Source organism: Homo sapiens, chromosome 17 (genome assembly GCF_000001405.40).
Source record: "Homo sapiens chromosome 17, GRCh38.p14 Primary Assembly".
In the NCBI taxonomy this organism is placed as follows: Eukaryota; Metazoa; Chordata; class Mammalia; order Primates; family Hominidae; genus Homo; species Homo sapiens.
In genome coordinates, this window is record NC_000017.11 from 42,069,709 (window position 1) to 42,092,688 (window position 22,980).

Consider the following 22,980-nt stretch of genomic DNA (forward strand, 5'->3'; position numbering starts at 1 on the left):
TGGGCCAGACCCTGCCTCGCTGGGCTTTGGTTTCCTGTCTTTAAAGAGAGGGGGCCAGGCGTGGTGGCTCTTGCCTGTAATCCCAGCACTTTGGGAGGCCAAGGCAGGTGGATCACCTGAGGCTGGGAGTTTGAGACCAGCCTGGCCAACATGGTGAAACCCCGTCTCTACTAAAGATACAAAAATTAGCCAACATGGTGGTGAGTGCCTGTAATCCCAACTACTCGGGAGGCTGAGGCAGGAGAATTGCTTGAACCTGGGAGGCAGAGGTTGCAATGAGCCGAGATTGCACCACTGCACTCCAGCCCCAGAGACAATGAAACTCCGTCTCAAAAAAATAAATAAGTAAAAAATAGCAGGGCGCGGTGGCTCACGCCTGTAATCCCAGCACTTTGGGAGGCCGAGGCGGGCGGATCATGAGGTCAGGAGATCGAGACCATCCTGGCTAACACGATGAAACCCCATCTCTACCAAAAATACAAAAAAATTAGCCAGGCGTGGTGGCAGGTGCCTGTAGTCCCACTACTCAGGAGGCTGAGGCAGGAGAATGGCGTGAACCCGGGAGGCGGAGCTTGCAGTGAGCCGAGATCGCGCCACTGCACTCCAGCCTGTGCGACAGAGCGAGACTCCATCTCAAAAAAGTAAAAAATAAAATAAAATAGATAAGAGAGGGGATTGGGCTCCTAGGTCCTTTGCAGGCTGAATTGCAGTGGCCACACAGAGCCGCTACTGCTAAGGTGGAAGGCAGTGGAGGCCAAGGTATATGATTCTGCCTTAGCCTGGGAGAAAGGCAGGGTGGGTGCACCTGGTGGCAAGCGCCTGTTGTCCCTGGAGCACAACAGAAACATCGCCTCCATGAATCCTCAGAACAATCCTGCGAGGCTTGACACATGAGGCAACTGAGGCTCAGCATCACAAAGAGAGGCAAGTAGGTAGGGCCAGGTCTCCTCCATTCTATGAGGCAAAGGCAGGGGGTGAGGACCCTGGCAGGCCCCATCCCAGTCATTCATGGGGTCACAGGCAGGAGTGTGGGATCCTGGCCCTCCCTACCAGCCCAGCTGCAGAGAGAAGCACCTGGAAGAAGAGAAGCCTCATCTGTTCCTGTCCTAGCAGAGTGCAAGCCCTCCTGGGCCTGGGTACCCGCTGAGTGTCCCTGAGGGGCCGTCAATGAGCATTTTGGCTTCTCCACCCTGCCACCTCCCCACTGCCCTCTCCCAGCACTGACACCTCCCCAGGGCGAGGAAGGGGAAACAGCCCTCTTTAGTGGTGTGGCCACCACAGAGTGGCACCCATCCCAGCTATTCCATGGGCCCAGGGAGCTGGGGTCACCCAGGGCCACACCCTGAGATCCCCTCAGAGGATCCAGAGGAGTCACCTGCGCCAGACCCCAGCACATACACCCCTGCTTTGCCAGAACAGGAGGCCCGGGGGCTAGGCAACAGCTGCTCCAGGTGCCAGGTGAGGGGTTCCGCTGGACACACCCAAGGCACCATGTCTGTCTTCCCATCTGAAGTGGTGACAGAGGAAGCCTGTCGCCTTCCCCTGGGGCCTTCTGGGTGCTGGAGATTTCAGGAGTGAGCTGCTGAAAGCCAACACTCCAGCTCCAAGGGAGGGAGAGAGGGCACAGGAGGTGAAGGAGCAGTATGGTCCAGAGATGAAGTCACTGTCCCCCACCGCCTCCCCTCCCTGGTCTGCTCTGTCCTCACCCCCAGTTGTCTGCATCCTCCAGAGGGCCTCAGTCCCTCCTGACACCCCCAAAGACAGGGGCTGGCTCTGCTGGCCACTGACACTCCCCCAAAGACCCCTACCCTCAGGAAGGAAGTCCTTCTTGCTGTCTAACCTGCATCTCTCCTTGCAGGGTCCATAGTGGCAACACAGAGCAGCTGCTTGTAAGGTGGGATGGTTGTCTCCATACCCCCTGTCCTTGCCTCTGCTGCCAGGCAAAGCCCAGGAAATCTGACCTATTGCCCTGTTCACACTCAGCAGGCAGAGGAGACCCGCCGGCCCCATGCCCCCTCCTAGGAGCACCAGGGCTCAGGATCCTGGCACAGCCCGGGTTTATCTCCTGCCTGCTCTCCTGCTCTCCCTGCCCAATCCCATAGGACCCAGAAGGGGAGCTCCCTCAAACCCCACTCCCTGCTTTCCACTAGTCACCACGTCCAAGTCAGGGCAGGAGCCTAAGTCCTGGAAGCCAGAAGGAGGAGGGTTGGGAGCTCCTGGGACTGTTCCTGAGTTGTGGGTGGGGGCAGAGTGTTCTGGCCAGGGGCCCCCCCATGCCCCTTGCTGAAGCTGAGACATTCTGCACGTTGGGGGTAGGAAGGGGCGGGACAGGAAGTCCTCCAATGACTGTGAATGAGGTGGAGGGTGGGGGAGCAGGAGTACTTTTTGCACCCCCCAAAAGATAATTGTTGCTCTTCCCTCCCCTACCCCTTCCCTTCTATTCCATCTCAGTGTTGATAGGGGTGGATCAACTTTTGGATTCTCTAAACTTCTTAAGAAAAGACGGTGGGTTATCTGGTCGCGCCCCCTATCTCCGGAGAATGGTCCTCTCCTTAGGGTGGGTGGGAGTAGAGGGGGAGTCTCACCCTGTACTCCCTCTCTCCCCCTAATGGGAGCTGGAAGTCCTTCTTGCCATCACCCTTGGTGTCCTCCTCGCGACCTCAGTTTCCGGTTAAGTTGCGGTTCTTTCCCGGTCACCAGGCAAGAAGGGTCTCCGCCGCTGCCCCCAGCCCTGCAGAACCACCTAAGTGCTGAGCACGCGGCGGGCCCCCTCCCGCCGGCTCTGCCCCCGCGGCGCGTGGGTCCGGGATGGGCGGCGGGGAGTGCGGGCCCGAGTCCGGCGCCCGCGCCTACCTGGAGAGCGCTCCGGACAAACCCGGCTGCGTCCAGCCGCTCGCGGCCACCCGGGGCGGTCCTGAGTCGCAGCTCCCGGCCCCGCGCTCTCCCGGGACAGCCACAGCGTCTCCGAGCCCGCCCCCGGGCGGCCCGACGGGAGCAGGTGCCAGGAGCCGCGCCGCCCCCGCCGGCCCAGGACAGCCTTGGCGGGAGAGGGGCTCAGCGGTGGGGCTCCCCGGGTGGGAGGAAGAGAGGGGAGACTCGGAGGCTCTCCTGGCTGAAGAGCTGCGCGCACGGGTGAGTATCCCGCCTACCCCGGCTGACCAGGCCCAGCGTACCTGAGGGCTCCCAAGGTGTCCCAGAGCTCAGGGAAGGGGACCCCAAACTGGCTGCCTTCCCCCACCCCCTGTCAGCACCACCTTCCGCCCCCGGCCGCTACCTCTGGCAAGCAGGCCCCTCTTTTGCAAGGAAACTCAGGGAGTGGGAGGAAGTTGACATTCATGGACCACCTGCTGGGTGCCAGGGGGATCACACTGAAACCTCAGAACCACTCTGCCCAGAGCGGTGCAGTTCCCCATTTTACAGACCAGGAAAAGAAAGATTGGGGACTTAGGTAGGCACGGTGGCTCACGCCTGTAATCCCAGCACTTTGGGAGGTCGAGGCAGGCGGATCACTTGAGGTCAGGAGTTCGAGACCAGCGTGGCCAACATGGTGAAACCCTGTCTCTATAAAAGTACAAAAATTAGCCGGGGGTAGTGGCACGCCTGTAATCCCAGCTACTCAGGAGGCTAAGATGGGAGAATCGCTTGAACCTGGGAAGTGGAGGTTGCAGTGAGTCAAAACCACCCCATTGCACTCCAGCCTGGGTAAGAAAAGTGAAACTTCGTCTCAAAAAAAAAAAGGTTGTGGACCTTAAGTAACTGGTCCAAAGTCACACAGGAAGTGGGCACCAAATGGGAGACTCCAGGCTGCTCCTAGGCACTGTCTCTGGAGGTCAGGGGAGACAGCCAGAGTCTGCTGGGGAGACTTCACCAGTGTGTGTGGCTGAGAGTCCTTTCTGATTCCTCCCAGGGAATCAAAGCACAGGGTCCAGCACACAGTGGGCACACACAGGGGCATGGAGCCAACCAGGAAGAGCAGGAGGCAGGGGCTGGTGGCACGACCTCCTAAGAGCACTGTCACCATTCTGTTGTTGGAGAAGCAATAACAGGGCAAGAGAGCAAGAAAGAGCCAAGGAAAGCGGACACAGAGGGCTCTTGCAGCCAAAGAAGAAGTGGCGGTGCCATTTACCTGCCTGGCACTGGGGCAGGCCTACTGGGGACCAGGCCACACAGAGAGGAGGCCCCATGGTGGGGAGCCTCAGGGATGCCTCACCCACGGTGCCACCAAGTCTCCTAGCACTTCCTGGTTCACCAACCACCAACTCACCCCTGCCTTGGGCCTTGCCCCTGCTCTCCCCTCAGTCTGGAACATCCTCCCAACATTCACAGAGATACCTCCTTGTCACTCAGGCCCCAGCTCAAATGTTACCTCCCCAGGAGCCCCTTTCCCCAGCTTCATCACTCTTAGTCTCAGACTCAGTTTACCACCCTCTTAGGGTATCTCTCAGGTTGTAATTCTTTTGTTTGCACCCTGACCTGTCTCCCCCATGAGGGCAGGGCCCTTATTTCCCAGCTATCCACAACACCAGTGCAAAGCTTACTGCATACTTAATAGATGCTCAATAAATAGTTGTTGAATGAATAATAAATGCATTTCCACTTTTAAGATAAATCCACATTAAATTGTACATTTTAAATGGGGGAATTGTATGGTATGCAATTATATTTCAATAAAGCAGTTACTAAAGATTTTTTTTTTTTTTTGAGACGGAGTCTCACTCTGTCGCCCAGGCTGGAGTGCAATGGCACAATCTTGGCTCACTGCAACCTCCATCTCCCAGGTTCAAGTGATTCTCCTGCCTCAGCCTCCCAAGTAGCTGGGACAACAGGCGCATGCCACTACGCTAGGTTATTTTTGTATTTTTAGTAGAGACAGGGTTTCACCATGTTGTCCAGGATGGTCTCGATCTCCTGACCTCATGTTCCACCCGCCTCGGCCTCCCAAAGTGCTGGGATTACAGGCGTGAGCCACCGCGCCCGGCCAAAGATGTTTTTAAAAAGTAAATCCAGGGTGAGGAGGACAGTCGTGGTATACCATATGTACCTCACTATCCCACAGCACACGCATCCTCTAACTTAATCCGGTCACACTGATCTCCATCACAGTCCACATCCTGTGGCTGTCCACGGAGAATTGCAGTTGTTCAGACTTGGAAGGGATCTTAGAGGTCATCCCATCTCTTTTGTAGCAGCTTTGACAAGGTATCCTCTGGCCTCTGCCTGAACATGCCAATGATGGGGAGATCACTACCTAACAAGATGGCCCATTCCACTATGCTAACGTTAATTAAAATGGGGGGTTGGAACCTGTTTCCCTATAATGCTTGCATAATGGTCGTAGATCTGCTGCCTGGTAACACAGAAAACGTGCACTCCACCTTCCACAGCCAGAGAAACACAGCAGGCAGTTTCTTCCTAAAGGGGCTCTTCTCCCAGCTAAAGAGACCCATTTGCCTCAGCTATTCTTCCCCTGACATGGTCACCTCCTCCAGGAAGCCTTTGAAGATGTGCCTCCCCCTTGTATGTGCTCCCAGGGCACCTTGTATGAGACCCTAACACTGCCCTTATCACACTGTATTAATTAAACTGTCTCTCCCAAACCCTGCTTTGGTTACCCAACTATACTGAGCGCTCCTCCCCCAGGGTAGTTCTGGGCCTTCATTCATTTCTTTTGCCTGGTACCTTGCATGGTGACCAACTGACCTGATCTAAACCACTTAATTAAAAATGTGTTGAATAAATGGTTTCCAAGTGTTGGATTATCCCAGTTACATTCCTTTATACTCCTTTTTTTTTTTTTTTTTTTTCTGATGGAGTCTTGCTCTGTCGCCCAGGCTGGAGTGCAGTGGCGCGATCTCGGCTCACTGCAAGCTCCGCCTCCCGGGTTCACACCATTCTCCTGCCTCAGCCTCCCCAGTAGCTGGGACTACAGGCGCCCACCACCACGCCCAGCTCATTTTTTGTATTTTTAGTAGAGACAGGGTTTCACCGTGTTAGCCAGGATGGTCTCGATCTCCTGACCTCATGATCCACCTGCCTTGGCCTCTCAAAGTGCTGGGATTACAGGCGTGAGCCACTGTGCCTAGCACATTCCTCTAAACTCTTTTAGGCTTTTGGTATCCTCCATAGAACAGAAAAAGGGACAGCACAACCTCCCCCCATCTCTGCCCTCCTCTGTGAATGCTGCCCATCCCTCAGTTTTTCTTCAGCCTTGAACTAGCTTTACATAGAGCTGAGCGTCCTTGAAACCCCCAGGTCTATTTTCACGTGATGCACTGGTGAGTTCAGCCTCCCTATCCCAGCCCCCGAGTGAATGGTAGTTTCCTGCGCTGGGAGGCCCAGACCGTATGTTTGGGCTTGCTGGCTCTCCCATTCTGCTTAGCCTATTGAAATCATTCAGCAGGACCACAGGTGCCAGCTTAGTGCCACCCACAAAGACGTGGCTTCACCTAGATACCTAGGAATAACACACCCCTAAACTCCAACTCTGCACGCAGGCAAAACACTGCCGTCTATTGTGGGCCTTCTGTGTGCCAGATCCTTCCCATGCCCTTTCCCACTCATTTCATCCCCTACTAACCCTGAAAGTTTGCTACTACTCTCCAGATTTTGAAGATAAAGAGGGGGAGGCTCTGGCCGGGCGCGGTGGCTCACGCCTGTAATCCCAGCACTTTGGGAGGCCGAGGCGGGTGGATCACGAGGTCAGGAGATCGAGACCATCCTGGCTAACACGGTGAAACCCCATCTCTACTAAAAATACAAAAAAATTAGCTGGGCGTGGTGGCGGGTGCCTGTAGTCCCAGCTACTCAGGAGGCTGAGGCAGGAGAATGGTGTGAACCCGGGGGGCGGAGCTGGCAGTGAGCCAAGATCGCGCCACTGCACTCCAGCCTGGGCGATAAAATGAGACTCTGTCTCAAACAAACACACAAAAAAAACAAAGAAGGGGAGGCTCTGAGAAGTTAACTTACCTGCCCAAGGTCACACAGCTAGAAAGGGGCAGAGTGGGGATTTGGACCCCATTGGATGACTCCAAAGCATAGGGTGTCTCTTTCCTTTATACCATGGTGCTTCTAAAGGCCTTATCCCAATATGCCCAGTAACTTTTTTCCTACAAAGGTGGGGTGAAGAGGAAGAACAAATGAAAAAGCTCTTCCTGGTAATGGAGAGCTGGGGGTGTGAGGTGGTGCTAGCCCTTCCTGGTCCACCTTCCACTTGCCCAGTGAGGGATTCAGGCCCCTTAAATATTGCCCTCCCCACTCCAGAAAATGACGCTTAGTCTAAATAAAGCCTCTGAGTCTCCAGTTTGACTATTCCAGCTCTCACTACTGGCCAGTCTTATCCACTGTCTCCTCTTCCTCTGTTTTGTCTGTGGATGACTCTTCAGCCCTAGAACAGTGCCTGACACACAGAAAGTAACAAAGACATATTGCTGGATTTGAGGAATGAACCAACTCTCACTGTAGGTGCAAAGAGAAATGGATCAGGCACCTTGCTCTGACTGTGTGAGTTTAGGCAAGTTACTTCCCCTCTCTGAGCTTCAGTTTCCTTATCTCTAAAACAGGGCAATTAACAGGTAACGGTGTAGAGGATGGTGTGACATCATGCCTGCAAAGTACCCCATATAATATGTGCCCAACTAATAGTAGGGGCATTATTAATTAGGTGTTGCTGGTCCCGGCTTTAGAGAGAGGGACATTGAGGCTCAGAGAGGTGAAGGAACTTATGCAACCCTCAACATTACACAGCTTGGAAGAGGCCCATACCGAACAGCAGCTGATGGGCCTGGATTTAAGGCTGTGCCCTTTTTCTTGCTCCTGGGGCCTTTCCCAAATGTTCAATAAGTAACATTTCTACTACAAAGATAAGAGGTGGTTAAAAGAATTGTTCATAATAATAACACTAAGGGCCCCAGCTGAAGCAAAGCCTGTAACAAAGGGACTCAGGCAAGGAGCAGAGACCCCGGCCCAGCCAGCAGCTTCCCTGCTCGGCCCACAGCCCAGACTGGGGCTAGGACGGGTGGCGTCATTCTGGACTCCTGGGCTCTAGGAGGGTGGGAGAGGCCCCAACAGTGGGTAGGCCTGTCCCACCCCACCCATCATGGGTTCTTTCTGCCCCCACTGAAAGGGCAGACTCTCTAGTGGCTTGAACAAGTCCACTGTGACCCCTCCCCCCACATTTTGCCTCCTAAAATAGCCCAGAGCCACCATGTGCCCAGGGCGGCTCCCCACTGGTTGCAAATCCCCCTGAAATCAAATCCCCATCCTGCCCCAAGGAGGACGGCACCACCTCCTGCCACTGCTGGGCTCCAGCGCCAGCCAGGCTCCCCCAGTGGAAACCGGGACAGTTGTCCTTCACAGTGACCGGGACATAAATCCCCAAATAATGAGACAGGCACTGGGAACACAGAACCAGACACAGTGCTAATTGGTTTGCTTCTGGGCAGAGATGATGTGGAGACAACAGTAACAGGCCTCAGTTTCCCTGGCGGTGTATTGGGGTGGGGGGATGCAAGGGCCAGGGATCCCTGGCTGGGCTGATTTTCTACGCCTTCTGACTGGCCTCACAACCTACTAACCAGTCGCACTTTTTAGGATATTAAATTCCCAGATGTAAAAGGAAAGGGCTGGGGTCTCCTGGTCCAGGTCCTGAGGTAGGAAGCCTAGAATCTCTACCATGATCCAGAAACACCTTCTTTCCATTAAGAAAAAAAAAAAAATTCAACCAACACTCAGATCCTTCCCAGTATGCATGGGGGACTGGGGGAGCAGGGAGGCGGGGAACCCAGTGCAACCTCCCTGCTCCTCATGTGAGGTTGGTAATGGATTCTTGGACAAGCCCAAGGACCTCAGTTTGCAGTAATCAGGATGAGATTATCACATTAAACTTTCAAAGTCTTTGCTCAAAAAGAAGCAGCAGCAGCTGACACCCTTGACTCCCCCGACTTTCCCACTGTCACCTTCTCCTGGACCATGACCAGATGAGCTCCAGATACAGGCCACGTGGAGGCTCCACTGCACTGGGGCAGAGGCAGGGGCATGGACAGGATGATCTCCCTGGGGGTGGCCTCAGGGTTGTGGTAAGATGGAAGGGGGAGGAGGTGGGGGAGAGAGGTGAGCATGTGTGTCTGCGGGTGTAATTTGGAGGGACTGCGGGGAACTGGAGTAACTTGAAGTCAGGCAAATGTGTTTACGTTGCAACTTCGCCACTAATCGTGTGACTGGGAACTTGTCCCTTCTCTTCACATCTTAGTTTCCTGTCTGTAAAATGGAGATAATGGTAACAACAATGCCTAATAATAACTCCTCTGACTCAAGGCTGATGTCTGAGAAGATTAAATAAGATAACAGAATATACTAGCCCGGCACGGTGGCTCATGCCTGTAATCTCGGCACCTTGGAAGGATGGAAGGACCAGGTGGGTGGATTGCTTGAGCCCAGGAGTTTGAGACCAGCCTGAGAAACATGACAAAACCCTGTCTCGCAAAAAAAAAAAAAAAAATATATATATATATACATATATATATATATACACACATATATGAACAAAAATTAGCTGGGCATGCTGGTGCACACCTGTAATCCCAACTACTGGGGAGACTGAGACGGGAGATTGAGGCTGCAGTGAGCCATGATCATGCCACTGCACTCCAGCCTGGGTGACAGTGAGACTCTGTCTCAAAAAAAAAAAAAAAAAAAATACTGACCAGGCACAGTGGCTCACGCCTGTAATCCCAGCACTTTGGGAGGCTGAGGCAGGAGGATCACTTGAGGCCAGGAGTTTGAGACTCTATCTTTACAAAAAAAAAAAAAATTAGTTGACCATGGTGGTGCATGTCTGTAGTCCCAGCTGCTCAGGAGGCTGGGACAGGAGGATCATTTGGGCCCAGGAGTTGAAGACCACAGTGAGCTATTATTGTGATACTGCACTCCAGCCTGGGTGAAAGAGCAAGACTGTCTTCCCCCATCACCCCCCAAAAAAAAGAAAGAAGGAAAATGCCCTAAAACTGTAAAAGCCCACTGCGATGTGAGGGATGATGTCATTAGTTACAGCAGGAGGGATGGTGATAAGACCATAGAAAGAACTTCCTCACAGCCTTGCGTTGGAAACTAATGGAGCAAAAAAAAAGAAAGAAGACAAACAGGCTTGGGTAGAATGCCAAAGATCTCATCAATGATCCACTCTCCCAACCCAGGGTGCCCATCCCCATGTCCAGGCTCCCCTCCTGCCCATCATCTTGCCTCCCAAGGCTGCCAGGCAGCCATCAATTTTTCCCAACTCAGAGCTCTATTCAGCTTGTATTTGTTGCCAACACAACAGAAATTATTTCAACCTCTTCATCCAGCTTGGCAGAGCTACCTGGGGTGTGTAGGAGAGGCCAGAGCTGGAAGAAAGGAGGCTGGAAATTGGGGTGTCCAACAGTGGGGTGGCCGTCTCTCCAGAATATTAGCTGCAATTGCAGCATTCTAGAAGGCAGTCAGCTTCCTGAGAGGACAGCCTTATACTGCCCCATGGAAGGGAAGGGAAAGCCTGAGGATCCAGGGGTCCTCACGGGGACCTTGGCCACCTTTCCTCTTACTTAAAGAGCTGCATTCAGAAGGTGTTGGGAAGGAAAGGCCCTGACTACCAGCCAGGTTCAACCCTGTGGAAATTAAGATCTGTAAGTCTCCCTGACCCTCCCTTCATTTCCTGAAGCTTTTATTTAGTTTGTCCAGCAGGATCCTCCCATCCCAGCCCACTGATTCAGGCCTTGGGGTCCTGTCCTCCTCCTCAATATGAGAAACTAATCCTAACCCATCCTAACCTCACAAGGATGGAGGCAGATTGAGGATGACACCAAGATTCCAGGGTCACCTGGGGTGGGGAAGGGAGAACCTCCAAGTCCATTGGCTGAGGGAGATGGTGGGGTATCCATGGTCCACCTTGCTGGCCAGGGAGCAGCTGCTGACCACATCAAAGTCCTCCTCTCAAATCGGTCCGGTGGGAGGAGGCACAAAGCCGTTGCAGGCCATGAAGAAGGAGTCCTTTCAAAACCAGCTGAGAGGTTCCAAGAAACGCCCTGAGGACAGGCTGTGTCAACATGTCCTGTGCCCCCCAGGCCCACTGGTGCAGCTTCCAAGCAGCTTCCCACAGCAGGGCCACTCAGAGGCCTTGGCTGGAAGGCAGGGGAGGGTGAAGGACAGAGCATGAGCTCCAGGAGCCATCAGACCTTGGGCAAAGTCCTTACCTCTCTGATCTATAAAATGGACTCAGTAGTATATACCTCATGGGGTTGTTGGGAGAACCAAGAGGTGATATAGGGATAGCGTCTCCCTTTGTGCCTGGCACAGAGTAGGGGGTCGATAAATTCACTCAATAAACACTTATTGAACACCTACTATATGCCAGCCTGTCCACTCTATACCTTGGGATCTAGCAGTGAACGGAAGTCCAAAGGGCCCTCATGGAACTTGCAAATCTGGGTTAGGGGAAGAAGGATGGGCGCAGACAATAAGCAGATAAACACATGAATCAGGATGGACGAGGGCTTGCAGAAGACCAGCACTCAGGAGGGGCCCCTCTGGAGGGGCTCTGTCAGACCTGGCTGACCTGAGGGATAGGCCTGCCTGAGGGTTTTTGGCCACAACCACTCACGGGAATCACCTGAGCAGCCTTGGAAAATTCTGATGTCCAAGCTCCGCCCCAGGGATTTTATTTTTTTGAGACAGAGTCTGACTCTGTCACCCAGGCTGGAATCCAGTGGTGCAATCTCTGCTCACTGAAACCTTCACCTCCTGGGTTCAAGTCATTCTCCTGCCTCAGCTGGGATTACAGGTGCCTGCCACCACGCCCAGTTAATTTTTATATTTTTAAAGTAGAGTCGGGGTTTCACCACGTTGACCAGGCTGGTCTCGAACTCCTGACCTCAGTGACCTGCTCGCCTCAGCCTTCCAAAGTGCTGGGATTACAGGCATGAGCCACCACGCCCAACCTCTACCCAGAGATTCTGATAGGCTTGGTCTGGGTGCAGCCTGAGACTGTAAAATTCTGCCCAGGTGATTGACATGCAGCCAACAGTGAAAGCCTCATGCCCAGCAGGCTTCCCAAGTACCTGGCTACAGGAGCACCACCTGAGGAGCTTGTCCGGCATCCTAGGCTGGGCTCCACCCCCAGGGGTTCAGATTCAGGAGCCTGGGGTGAGGCCCAGCATCAACAGGTGCCCAGATTCTGAAGAGTTTCTAGGAGAGCAAGGGCGAGCTCCAGAGACTGGCTCTCAGAGTCTTCCTCACACTGAGCCTGGCCACACTGCATGGGACCACCTGCTGCTCCCATGAGCACTGTCCCACTGCCTTGCCCCCAGCCTAGCAAGTCCCCCGCCTTTCTCCAGGCAAGTCCTGCTGCTGCTCCTAGGCTTACCATGAAGCCTGAAGCTTCCCACCACCTCAGCCCCTTGGCTGAAGCCCCTATGCCATCCTGTTCCATGGCGTGCTTCATGTCTGGCTGAATCCTGGGCTCCTAGAGGTAAGGCCAACTCATCCATGGCACATGGCACCAAGCCCAGCACCTCACAGGGTATGACTCGTGACCTCAGTGATCCGCTCGCCTCAGCCTTCCAAAGTGCTGGGATTACAGGCGTGAGCCACCACGCCCGACCTCTTCCCAGAGATTCTGATGGAATACCAACCTTCTGTTGAAGGAATACCAAATCTCTTCCAGCCTCCCCTGCTCCCACAACTAGGCCAAAGGTGGCAGTGTGGTGACTGGCTCCTCTAGATCCCTACTCCACCCCCTCACCTGAGTCTCTGGTCCCAGGATTCCTCTTGTGGCATCTGGCTTCTCTCCCACCCACTGCACTCTTGGCCTTGCCCTAAGAGCCAGCCCTGGGATGGCAGACAGTGTACAATTATGTTTCCCCAGGCAAAGGTGCTCCAGGACGCCCTTTCCATCCCCTCTAAAGAACCAGGTATCAGCCAGTGTGGCTGTTCATGCCTGTAATCCCAGCACTTCAGGAGGCTGAGGTAGGAGGATTGGTTGAGTCTAGGAGTTTGAGACCAGCCTGGGCAACATAATGAGACCCTGTCTTTACAAAAAATACAAAAATTAGCCAGGCAAGGCCAGGCGCGGTGGCTTACACCTGTAATCCCAGCACTTTGGGAGGCCAAGGCTGGTGGATCACCTGAGGTCAAGAGTTTGAGACCAGCCTGTTCAACATGGTGAAGACCCGTCTCTACTAAAAATACAAAATTTAGCCAGGATGGTGGTGCACGCCTGTAATCCCAGCTACTCTGGAGGCTGAGGCAGGAGAATGGCATGAACCCGGGAGGTGGAGGTTGCAGTGAGCCAAGATTGCGTCACTGCACTCCAGCATGGGCAATAGAATGAAACTCCTTCTCAAAAAAACCAAAACAACAAAAAACAGTACCTCTTGAGAGACAAAGTGGCAAATGTAAGAAACCATGTCTGTTCATTTTTGCTTGCCAGCATAATTTCACAAAGCTCCTGACTCGTGACAAAATGTTTTTTTGTTTTTTTTTTTTGAGATGGAGTCTCTTGCTGTCACCCTGGCTGGAGTGCAGTGGCGTGATCCCAGCTCACTGCAAGCTCTGCCCCCCGGGTTCATGCCATTCTCCTGCCTCAGCCTCCAGAGTAGCTGGGACTACAGGCACCCGCCAACACGCCCCCGCTAATTTTTTGTAGTTTTGGTAGAGACGGGGTTTCACCATGTTAGTTAGCCAGGATGGTCTCGATCTCCTAACCTCATGATCCACCCACCTCGGCCTCCGAAAGTGTTGGGATTACAGGCATGAGCCACCGCGCCTGGCCATAACAAAATGTTTTAAAAAACCAATCACACTACAGGAGGTCTTTGTTTTCTGGTAACTGGCCCAAAAAACAAAGATTTTACATTTTACCAAGAAAATCCTGTGTTGTCTTTATTAAGTTTTTGATTACTTAAAAAAAACTAAACTTTAAAAGAATTAAAGTTTTTACATCCATGTAACTTTCTGTATTGCTTTTCAAGTCTTTTTTTTTTTTTTTTTTTTTTTTTTTTTGAGACAGAGTCTCACTCTGTCGCCCAGGCTGGAGTGCAATGGTGCGATCTCAGATCACTGCAACCTCTGCCTCCCAGGTTCAAGCGATTCTCCTGCCTCAGCCTCCCAAGTAGCTGGGATTACAGGCGTCCACCAATACACCAGGCTAATTTTTATATTTTTAGTAGAGATGGCATTTTGCCATGTTGACCAGGCTGTTCTTGAACTCCTGACCTCAGGTGAACAACCTGCCTCGGCCTCCCAAAGTGCCAGGATGGCAGGCGTGAGCCACCATACCCAGCCACTTTTAAAGCCGTTTATCACTCTGGTTAAATAAATATTATTTGGGTGAATGCAGTGGCTCACACCTATAATCCCACCATTTTAGGAGGCTGAGATGGGAGGTTTGCTTGGGGCCAGGAGTCCCAGACTAGTCTGTGCTGAACATATCAAGACCTCATATCTGAAAAAAAAAAAAATAGCTAGGCATGGTGGCAGATGCCTGTAGTCCAACCTATGAGGGCAGATTGCTTGAGCCCAGAAGTTCCAGGCTGCAGTGAGCTATTATCACACCACTACACTCTAGCCTGGGCGACAGAGCTTGTCTCAAAAAAAAAAAAAACCCAAAACCAAAAACAAACAAAAAACTATTATTTTAGAATGACCTATGATTCTGTTTTGATGAAGTGTTTTAAACATTTTTACATCTTTGGCAGGTTTCTCCAAGATCAAAATCCTAAATTAAGCCTTTTTAAACTAAATAGACATATAAAAGACATCGTCAAATAATAAATAATAATAGATCTTCTTTCAGTTACATTTATGAGTGTTATTAATATAAACGTTTCACAATTATATTAGTTCATAAAAATCTAATATATTATCAATGATAATTTTATTTTATTTTTTCTTGGAGACAGGGTCTCACTCTGTTGCCCAGGCTAGAGTACAGTGGTATGATCACGGCTCACTGCAGCCTCCACCTCCTGGGCTGAAACAATCCTCCTGCCTCAACCTCCCAAGTAGCTTTGACTACAGGCATACACCACCATGCCCAGCTAATTTAAAAAAAAATTTTTTTTTTAGAGATGGGGTCTTGCTATGTTTCCTAGGCTGATCTTGAACACCTGAGCTCAAGCCATCCTCCCACCTCAGCCTCCCAGAGTGCTGGGATTACAGGTGTGAGCCACCATGGCTGGCCAGTCATAATTTTAATTATGTTCAATATTTTCCATATTTTATACAGATATGTTATTTATATAAACAATCTAAAGACTACTTAAAATGTATAAAGATCTGGGCTGGGTGCGGTGGCTCATGCCTGTAATCCCAGCACTTTAGGAAGCCAAGACAGGCAGATCACCTGAGGCCAGGAGTTCGAGACCAGCCTGACCAACATGGTGAAACCCCGTCTCTACTAAAAATACAAAAATTAGCCAGGCGTGGTGGCGTGCACCTGTAATCCCAGCACTTTGGGAAGCCAAGGCAGAAGGATTGCTTGAGTCCAGGAGTTCAAGATCAGCCTGGGCAACATATGGAGACCCTGTCTGCAAAACATTTTTTTTTGTTTTTAATTTGAGACAGAGTCTCACTCTGTTGCCCAGGCTGGAGTGCACAATGTCGGCTCACTGCAACCTCCACCTCGCAGGTTCAAGCAAATCTTGTGGCTCAGCCTCCTGAGCAGCTGGGACTACAAGTGTGCGCCACCACGTCCGGCTAATTTTTTTCTTTTTTTTTTTTTTGTATTTTTAGTAGAGACAGGGTTTCGCCATGTTGCCCAGGTTGGTCTCAAATGCCTGAGTTCAGGCAATCTGCCCGCCTCAGCCTCCCAAAGTGCTAGGATTACAGGTGTGAGCCGCCAAGCTGGGCCTCTGCAAAACATTTTTTTTTTTTTTTTTTTGAGACAGAGTCTCACTTTGTCGCCCAGGCTGGAGTGCAGTGGCGCGATCTCGGCTCACTGCAACCTCTGCCCTCTGAGTTCAAGCGATTCTCCCGCCTTAGACTCCCCAGTAGCTGGGATTACAGGCGTCTGTCTCTGCGCCTGGCTAATTTTTTGTGTTTTTAGTAGAGATGGGTTTTCACCATCTTGGCCAGGCTGGTCTTGAACTCCTGACCTCGTGATCCACCCACCTCGGCCTCCCAAAGTGCTGAGATTACAGGCGTGAGCCACCACGCCCGGCCTCTGCAAAACATTTTTTAAAAATTAGCCAGGCATGGTGGCACACGCATGTGGTCCTGGTCACTTGAGAAGTTGAGGTGGGAGGATTGCTTGAGCCAGGGAGGTTGAGGCTGCAGTGAGCCATGATTGTGCCATTGCACTCCAGCCTGGGCAGCAGAGCAAGATCTTGTCTCGAAAAATAATAACAATACATTTAAATTTAAATTTAAAAAACCGGCTGGGTGCAGTGGCTCACGCCTGTAATCCCAGCACTTGGGGAGGCCAAGGTGGGCAGATCACCTGAGGTCAGGGGTTAGAGACCAGCCTGCGCAACATGGTGAAACCCCGTCTCTACTTAAAACACAAAAATTAGCTGGATGTGGTGGCACACCCCTGTAAGCCTAGCTACTCGGGAGGCCGAGGCACAAGAATCGCTTCAACCAGGCAGGCAGAGGTTGCAGTGAGCTGAGATCGCTTCGGCCTGGGCAACAGAGTGAGACTTTGTCTTAAATAAATAAATAAATAAATTTTAAAAACCAACTCTAAGACCAGGCGCAGTGGCTCACGCCTGTAATCCTAGCACTTTGGGAGGCCAAGGCAGGCGGATCACCTGAGGTCAGGAGTTCGAGACCAGCCTGGCCAACATGGAGAAACCCTGTCTCTACTAAAAATACAAAAATTAGCCAGCCATGGTGGCGTGCGCCTGTCATTCCAGCTACTTGGGAGGCTGAGGCAGGAGAATAGCTTGAACCCAGGAGGCAGAGGCTGCAGTGAGCCAAGACCCCAGCATTGCACTCCAGCCTGGGCAACAGAGTGAGATTCCATCTCAAAAAAAAAAAAAAAAAAATCCAATAAATATAAATACAGAAAGAAAAAAGTAAAATTAATTTAAAAACACAAATGTAAGTTTGTTTTATTAGTTATGTTTTTTCCCATATGTAACTCAGTTTAATACTTTTTTTTTTTTTTTTTTAGATAGAGTTTTGCTCTTGTTGCCCAGGCTGGAGTGCAGTGGCGTGATCTTGGCTCACTGCAACCTCCACCTCCCAGGTTCAAGCAATTCTCCTGCCTCAGCCTCCCAAGTAGCTGGGATTACACCACCACGCCCGGCTAATTTTTTGTACTTTTAGTAGAGACGAGGATTTCTCCATATTGGTCAGGCTGGTCTTGAACTCCCGACCTCAGGTGATCCGCCCACCTCAGCCTCCCAAGGTGCTGGGATTACAGGCGTGAGGCCTGTATACTTAAGCCTTAATACTATTAAGCATATACTGCTATGTATGATCTATAATATCCTTGTAATAGCCCTATTAAAGGGTTAAGTACAAAAAAAGACAATGTTGATGAAAACCTAGATCATGCTAATTAAAAAATAAATGCAATTCAAACTGTGTTTTCCAATAAGTAGGCATATATGCACGCTGGGACTAGTGCTCATTGCTTAAAACTACAACTGAAAACAATCAATCATCCTGAAAAAAGAGGCTTCCTAGTTACCTGACACAATCAGCATTTGGCTTTTAAATACAACCAGGCAGCTGATTTATGACCAAAAGAAAAAACTTGTGACACAAAGTAGCAAACATCAGAAGCCATTTGCTCATTTCTGCTTACCAGGATAATTTCACAAAGTCCCTGACTCTGTGCTTATCTGCAGCTCTCTGAAAAGAGTTTTAAAGACAAAACAAGATAAAACACAGCACCTCCCACAGCCCCACATCTCTTGCTTGAATCACTATATTCCTTAAAAGATCAATGGCCCCAGTCCTAGCCAGGCGCAGTGTCTCACGTCTATAAATCTCAGCACTTTGGGAATCCGAGACAGGAGGTTCACTTGAGGCCAGGAGCTTAAGACCAACCAGGGGAACATAGCAAGACCCCTGTCTCCATAAAAATAAAATAACCATAGTCCTTGCCTTTTGTTGCACATACAATAATGTCTGACAGAGTTAGTGATTATACCTCCGTAATCTATAACCAATATACTGTTACAGCCAAATTTTGATGTCCTTTTGCACATACTGAACCCCCACTACCTATATATAAACTATAAGCTAAAACACTGATTTAAAACAGTCTGACAAAACTGTTTTAGGGCTGTAGGCCATGCTCTATAGTCCTCCGTAAGACTTCTAAATAAAACTAACTTTAATTCTTTAAATGGTTAATTTTTTTTTTAATCGACACTCTTAGAGGGTCGTTATGAGGATTACCTGAGTCAATATTTGCAAAGTGTTTAGCAACCAGGCATGTGGTAATCATTACATATGTTTGCTAAATAACACAAGTGTAGTCAATCAACAAGGTCCATCCTGCTGATGCTGGGTCTGGGAGGTTGGGACTGAGATTTCCACTTTACAGATGAGGAGACTGAGGACCCGGAGAGGAAGAGACTTGCCCTCAGATGGCACTCAAACCTGAGGTCTGTCTCCCTTCAACCTTCTCTCTTCCAGCACCCCCAGGTCACCTCCCTCCCTCCTCAGGCGCCTGGCCTGGCCCGGGTGGGCGCAGTGCCCCACACTGACAGAGGCCCCTTTGTCTCCCTGCCCAGTGTCACACCCAGAGGGCGGAGCACCGCCGGACAAGCGCCCTGTGTCTGGGTCTGTTTCACCGCCAGGTCTGCGGCCGCCTGGGCGGCTCCAGCCACGGGACTCGAGGTAGGTGGATCCCAGGGCCATTCCCATCCCTTCCATCCCCCACCCCAACCTCAGCAGGGCATCCCTGACTCTCCCTCAGTGCAAAGAAGGAGAAACCTCCAAGGGAAACGCCCCAGTTCTTGGTCTCGACTCTGTACAAACTCCAAGTGGCCAGAGCCTGGGTGTTGGGGGGAAGAGCTCCAAGCTGCCTCAAATACCAGAAGCAGGGAGCTAAGGGTGTGGGAATGGCAGCAAGGGCATTCTGCATGTTGCAGGAGGGCTGCGGTGGGATCCTGGGGAGTGGGACAGAGATTACCCTGCCCTTTTTTACCCCATACTCTATCTGTAACCCGTCACCCAGGCTGGAGTGCAGTGGTGCGATCACAGCTCACTGCACCCTCGACCTCCTGGCCTCAAGCGATCCTCCCGCCTTGGCCTCTCAACACACTGGGACTACAGGCACACGCATCACCATGCCTGGCCCGGTTCACTTCTCTTTACCACCTGGATTGGCAGAACAGCCACCTCACTGGTCTCCCTGCCTCTACTTCCCCACTTCCTCTCCCTCCCAGTCCCATCTTCACACAGCCAGAGGGAGACTATTAAAAGGGCAACTCTCCAGCCTGGGCAACTCCATCTCTACAAAAAATACAAAAATTAGCTGGGTGTGGTGGTGCACACCTATAGTCCCAGCTACTCAGGAGGCTGAGGTGGGAGGATAGCTTGAACCTGGGAGGTCGAGGCTGCAGTGAGCCGTGATCACACCACCACACTCCAGCCTAGGGGACAGAATAAGACCCTGTCTCTAAATAAATAAATAAATAAATAAATAAAAATAAAGGCAAATCTGATCAAGTCATGCTCTGGGATAAAAGCTCTAAAGGCTTCACCCTTTGCTTTAGGAGAATGCTTGCCCCAGCCTGGAAGATCCGGGCCTTTCCCCTCCCCCAAGCCCTTCTCTCCCAGTCCACCCCTTCCACCTGATTCCTCCCACAGATCAACTGAGATATAAATACAACTCTCCACCTAAAAATATTACGGGTAGAAGTAACACTGAGGATGGCTAGAAATGGATATAAGAAAACTCATTATTGACTAAAATGCACAAAAGAATCAAATCTTGACCACGAATCTTTTTTTTTGGTTTTAATTTAAATCTTCCAAAATGGAATGGGGTTACCCAGTCAATCACACAATGGCAGAAACTCGTGTCAAGAGCCTGCAGCCCCCACACTGATGGATGCCTCCAATCTCAGCAGCAGAATGTGTACGGAATCGATGCCGATGAAAACAGTTTCAGTAAAATTACAAAAGAATGAAAAACATGGACATTTGTTTAACTGTACTACAGGGGAAAAACAAAAATCTGATCAAAGAATTAAGTTGGATGAATAGAGTTCAAGCTGGAGAACACCTTCTTAAAACATTTTCAGGGTTAGTATGTTTTGGTTTAAAATGTTTGCATTCAAAACATCCTTCGGGTCAAAATATCCGTAGTGGTTAAAATATCCTGTGTCCCTCTGATCTGTTTCCTATAACTCCCCACCTTCCAGCCACACTGGGCTCTTTCTGTCCCTGGAGCACAGCGAGTTTCCCCTCACTTGGGAGCTTTCTCAAAGCCTGTTCTCTCTGCCTTGAGTGCTCTTTTCCTTCTGACCCCTCCCTCCTCCTTCTCATGGCTGATATTTAACTATCACCTCTGAAAGACGCCTTCCTGCATTGCTCTCTCTAGGGTAGTTTTCCTTCCTTCCCATTTCCTCTTATTCCCTTTTTTTTTTTTTTTTTTTTTTTTTTTGAGATGGAGTCTCGTTCTGTCGCCCAGGCTGGAGTGCAATTGCGCGATCTCGGCTCACTGCAACCTCCACCTCCCAGGTTCAAGCGATTCTCCTGCTTCAGCCTCCCGAGTAGCTGGGATTACAGGCTTGCGCCATCACGCACTAATTTTTGTATTTTTAATTAGTGATGGGTTTTCACCATGTTGGCCAGGCTGGTCTCGAACTCCTGACCCCAAGTGATCCACCCACCTTGGTCTCCCAAAGTGCTGGGATTACAGACGTGAGCCACCACACCCAGCCTCTTATTCCCTCTTGAGAACCTATCTTAGGCTGGGCACGGTGGCTCACGCCTGTAATCCCAGCACTTTGGGAAGCAGAGGCGGGCGGATCACGAGGTCAGGAGATCGAGACCATGGTGAAACCCCATCTCTACTAAAAATACAAAAAATTAGCTGGGCACAGTGGTGGGCACCTGTAGTCCCAGCTACTCGGGAGGCTGAGGCAGGAGAATGGCGTGAACCCGGAAGGCGGAGCTTGCAGTGAGCCGAGATCCTGCCACTGCACTCCAGCCTGGGCGACAGAGCGAGACTCCGTCTCAAAAAAAAGAGAACCTATCTTGTTCCCTCTTGGAACCCTGTCTTGTTCCTCCTGAATTCCCAGGGCAGAGGCTAGCAAGTATAACACATAGTAGGTGCTCCATAAATATTGGTTAAATGAATGAGTAAATCAGTGTCACTGGGATGAGAGCTAGGACAGTAGGCTGGGGCTTGGGGGTAGGGGCTGGGACAGGGTAGAGACACACCCACTTATGACATCAAGTTCCAAGGAAGCCCATTTCAGTGGGAGAACAAAGAGAAGACTGGCTGCGCATGGTGGCATTACAGGCATGAGCCTGTAATCCTAGCACTTTGGGAGGCTGAGGCAGGAGGATCGCTTGAGCCCAGGAGTTTGAAACCAATCTGGGCAACAGAGGGAGACCCCTGTCTCTACAGAAAATGTAACAAAATTATCCAGGTGTGTGCCTGTAGTCCCAGCTATTCGTGAGGCTCTGGACTGAGGGCTGGGGTGGGAGGATTGCTTGGGCCTGGGAGGCGGAGGCTGCGGTGAGCTGTTATCGCACCACTGTACTCCAGCCTGGGTGGCAGAGCGAGACTTCATCTCAAACAAAAAAGAAAAGAGGATACAAAACCAGTCCTGCTCCTGATTTTTGCCCTATGCCCAGCTTCCCAAGGGTCAGGCCCATGTGCCAAATGGACAGCTCCCCCTCCACCCCTTCATCTAGGCCACCTTCTTGGGGCTTGGCTCCCACGTGTGGCTTCAGGCCAGGCTATTTGGGGAAACTTCCTGATCCCCCCTCTGGCCTCTCCACCCCCACACCTCATCTTGCAGACCCAGAATAGCTGTCCCCAGTCTCAACCTAGGGAGAGTCTCATTCCCAATTAGCACCCAGAGGGTTGAAACCATCTCTAAAAGCTTCTTGTGTCCCTCTCCCCTCAGGAAGCTGCTAACTAGGACAGCAAATTTCAGAATAAGGTCACAAGAATGCTACCTGCCCCTATATTCACCTCCCAGCCAGAGACTCAGGGACCAGGAGTCTTGGTGTGTGAAGGTAGAGGAGCTTTGGGTGAGGGGGAGATTCAGGAAGAGCCAGGGGTGACTGCAGCCTGTGACTCTTTTAATCAAAGGAGCAGCTCCAGCATGGTCTGGCAAGGAGCCCTGGCTGTGAGGGGTGAGGAGACCCAGGTTCCAGTCCAGGTTCTGCTAGAAGATTGATTCTGCGAAAGTTCCTTTGCTCTCTGAGCTTTCATCATCTACAAAAAGAACTTTGATCTTAGCCAGGCCCAGAGGTTCATGACGGTAATCTTAGCACTTTGGGAGGCCGAGGTGGGTGGATCACCTGAGCTCAGGAGTTCGAGACCAGCCAGGACAACATGGCAAAACCCTGTCTCTACTAAAAATACAAAAAATTAGCTGGGCATGGTGGCATGTGCCTGTAATCCCAGCTACTCAGGAGGCTGAGGCACGAGAATCTTGTGAACCTGGGAGGGGGAGGTTGCAGTGAGCTGAGACTGCACCACTGCACTCCAGCTTGGGCAACAGAGCAAGCGAGATTCGTGTCAAAAAAAAAAAAGAATTTTGATCTCTGCAGGTGCTCATAGGATGGGATGAGGCAGTTCTGTATACTGCAAAGTTCTGTACAAAATCAGGGGATAGGAGGCCCTTTGGGGTCCTAGGGAGATTGTTCTGGAGATGGATTCTTACAGGGGCCCCGAGCCCATCAGAGAATTATTCCTCTGCTAAAGTCTCACTGGAGGACTGGCTCAAGCCTCTGCCAACAGGGAGAGTGGGCAGGCTTCTCCCACATTCCAAAGACCACACCCCATGTGTCCCTCTTTAGGAACCC

At 51.2% G+C, this 22,980-nt stretch overlaps 1 protein-coding gene across 7 annotated transcripts in view, besides 2 other annotated features; it reads right to left on the reverse strand.

Moving 5' to 3' along the window:
- The window catches only part of ZNF385C (zinc finger protein 385C), a 72,898-nt gene that overhangs the window by 44,133 nt on the left and 5,785 nt on the right, over positions 1-22,980 (reverse strand). For 3 of the 7 annotated variants that reach the window (NM_001392017.1, NM_001392016.1, NM_001392015.1), the window contains exon 1: positions 2,854-2,891. The exons of the other annotated variants lie outside the window; for them this stretch is intronic. The gene's annotated coding sequence lies outside the window, so the exon portion shown is untranslated. Of the gene's footprint in view, positions 1-2,853; positions 2,892-22,980 lie in introns of those variants that run through there. 7 annotated transcript variants of the gene reach the window in all.
- Positions 1,719-2,692: an enhancer, noted in NCBI's record as "H3K4me1 hESC enhancer chr17:40223445-40224418 (GRCh37/hg19 assembly coordinates)". NCBI's record gives its function as "activates a minimal SCP1, AML or CMV promoter by ChIP-STARR-seq in naive H9 embryonic stem cells {active_cell/tissue: H9 hESC(naive)}" and the evidence as "EXISTENCE:reporter gene assay evidence [ECO:0000049][PMID:30033119]".
- Positions 2,763-3,057: a silencer, noted in NCBI's record as "tiled region #2167; HepG2 Repressive DNase matched - State 4:PromP, and K562 Repressive non-DNase unmatched - State 4:PromP". NCBI's record gives its function as "represses a minimal TATA promoter and a strong SV40 promoter by Sharpr-MPRA in HepG2 and K562 cells {active_cell/tissue: HepG2 | K562}" and the evidence as "EXISTENCE:reporter gene assay evidence [ECO:0000049][PMID:27701403]".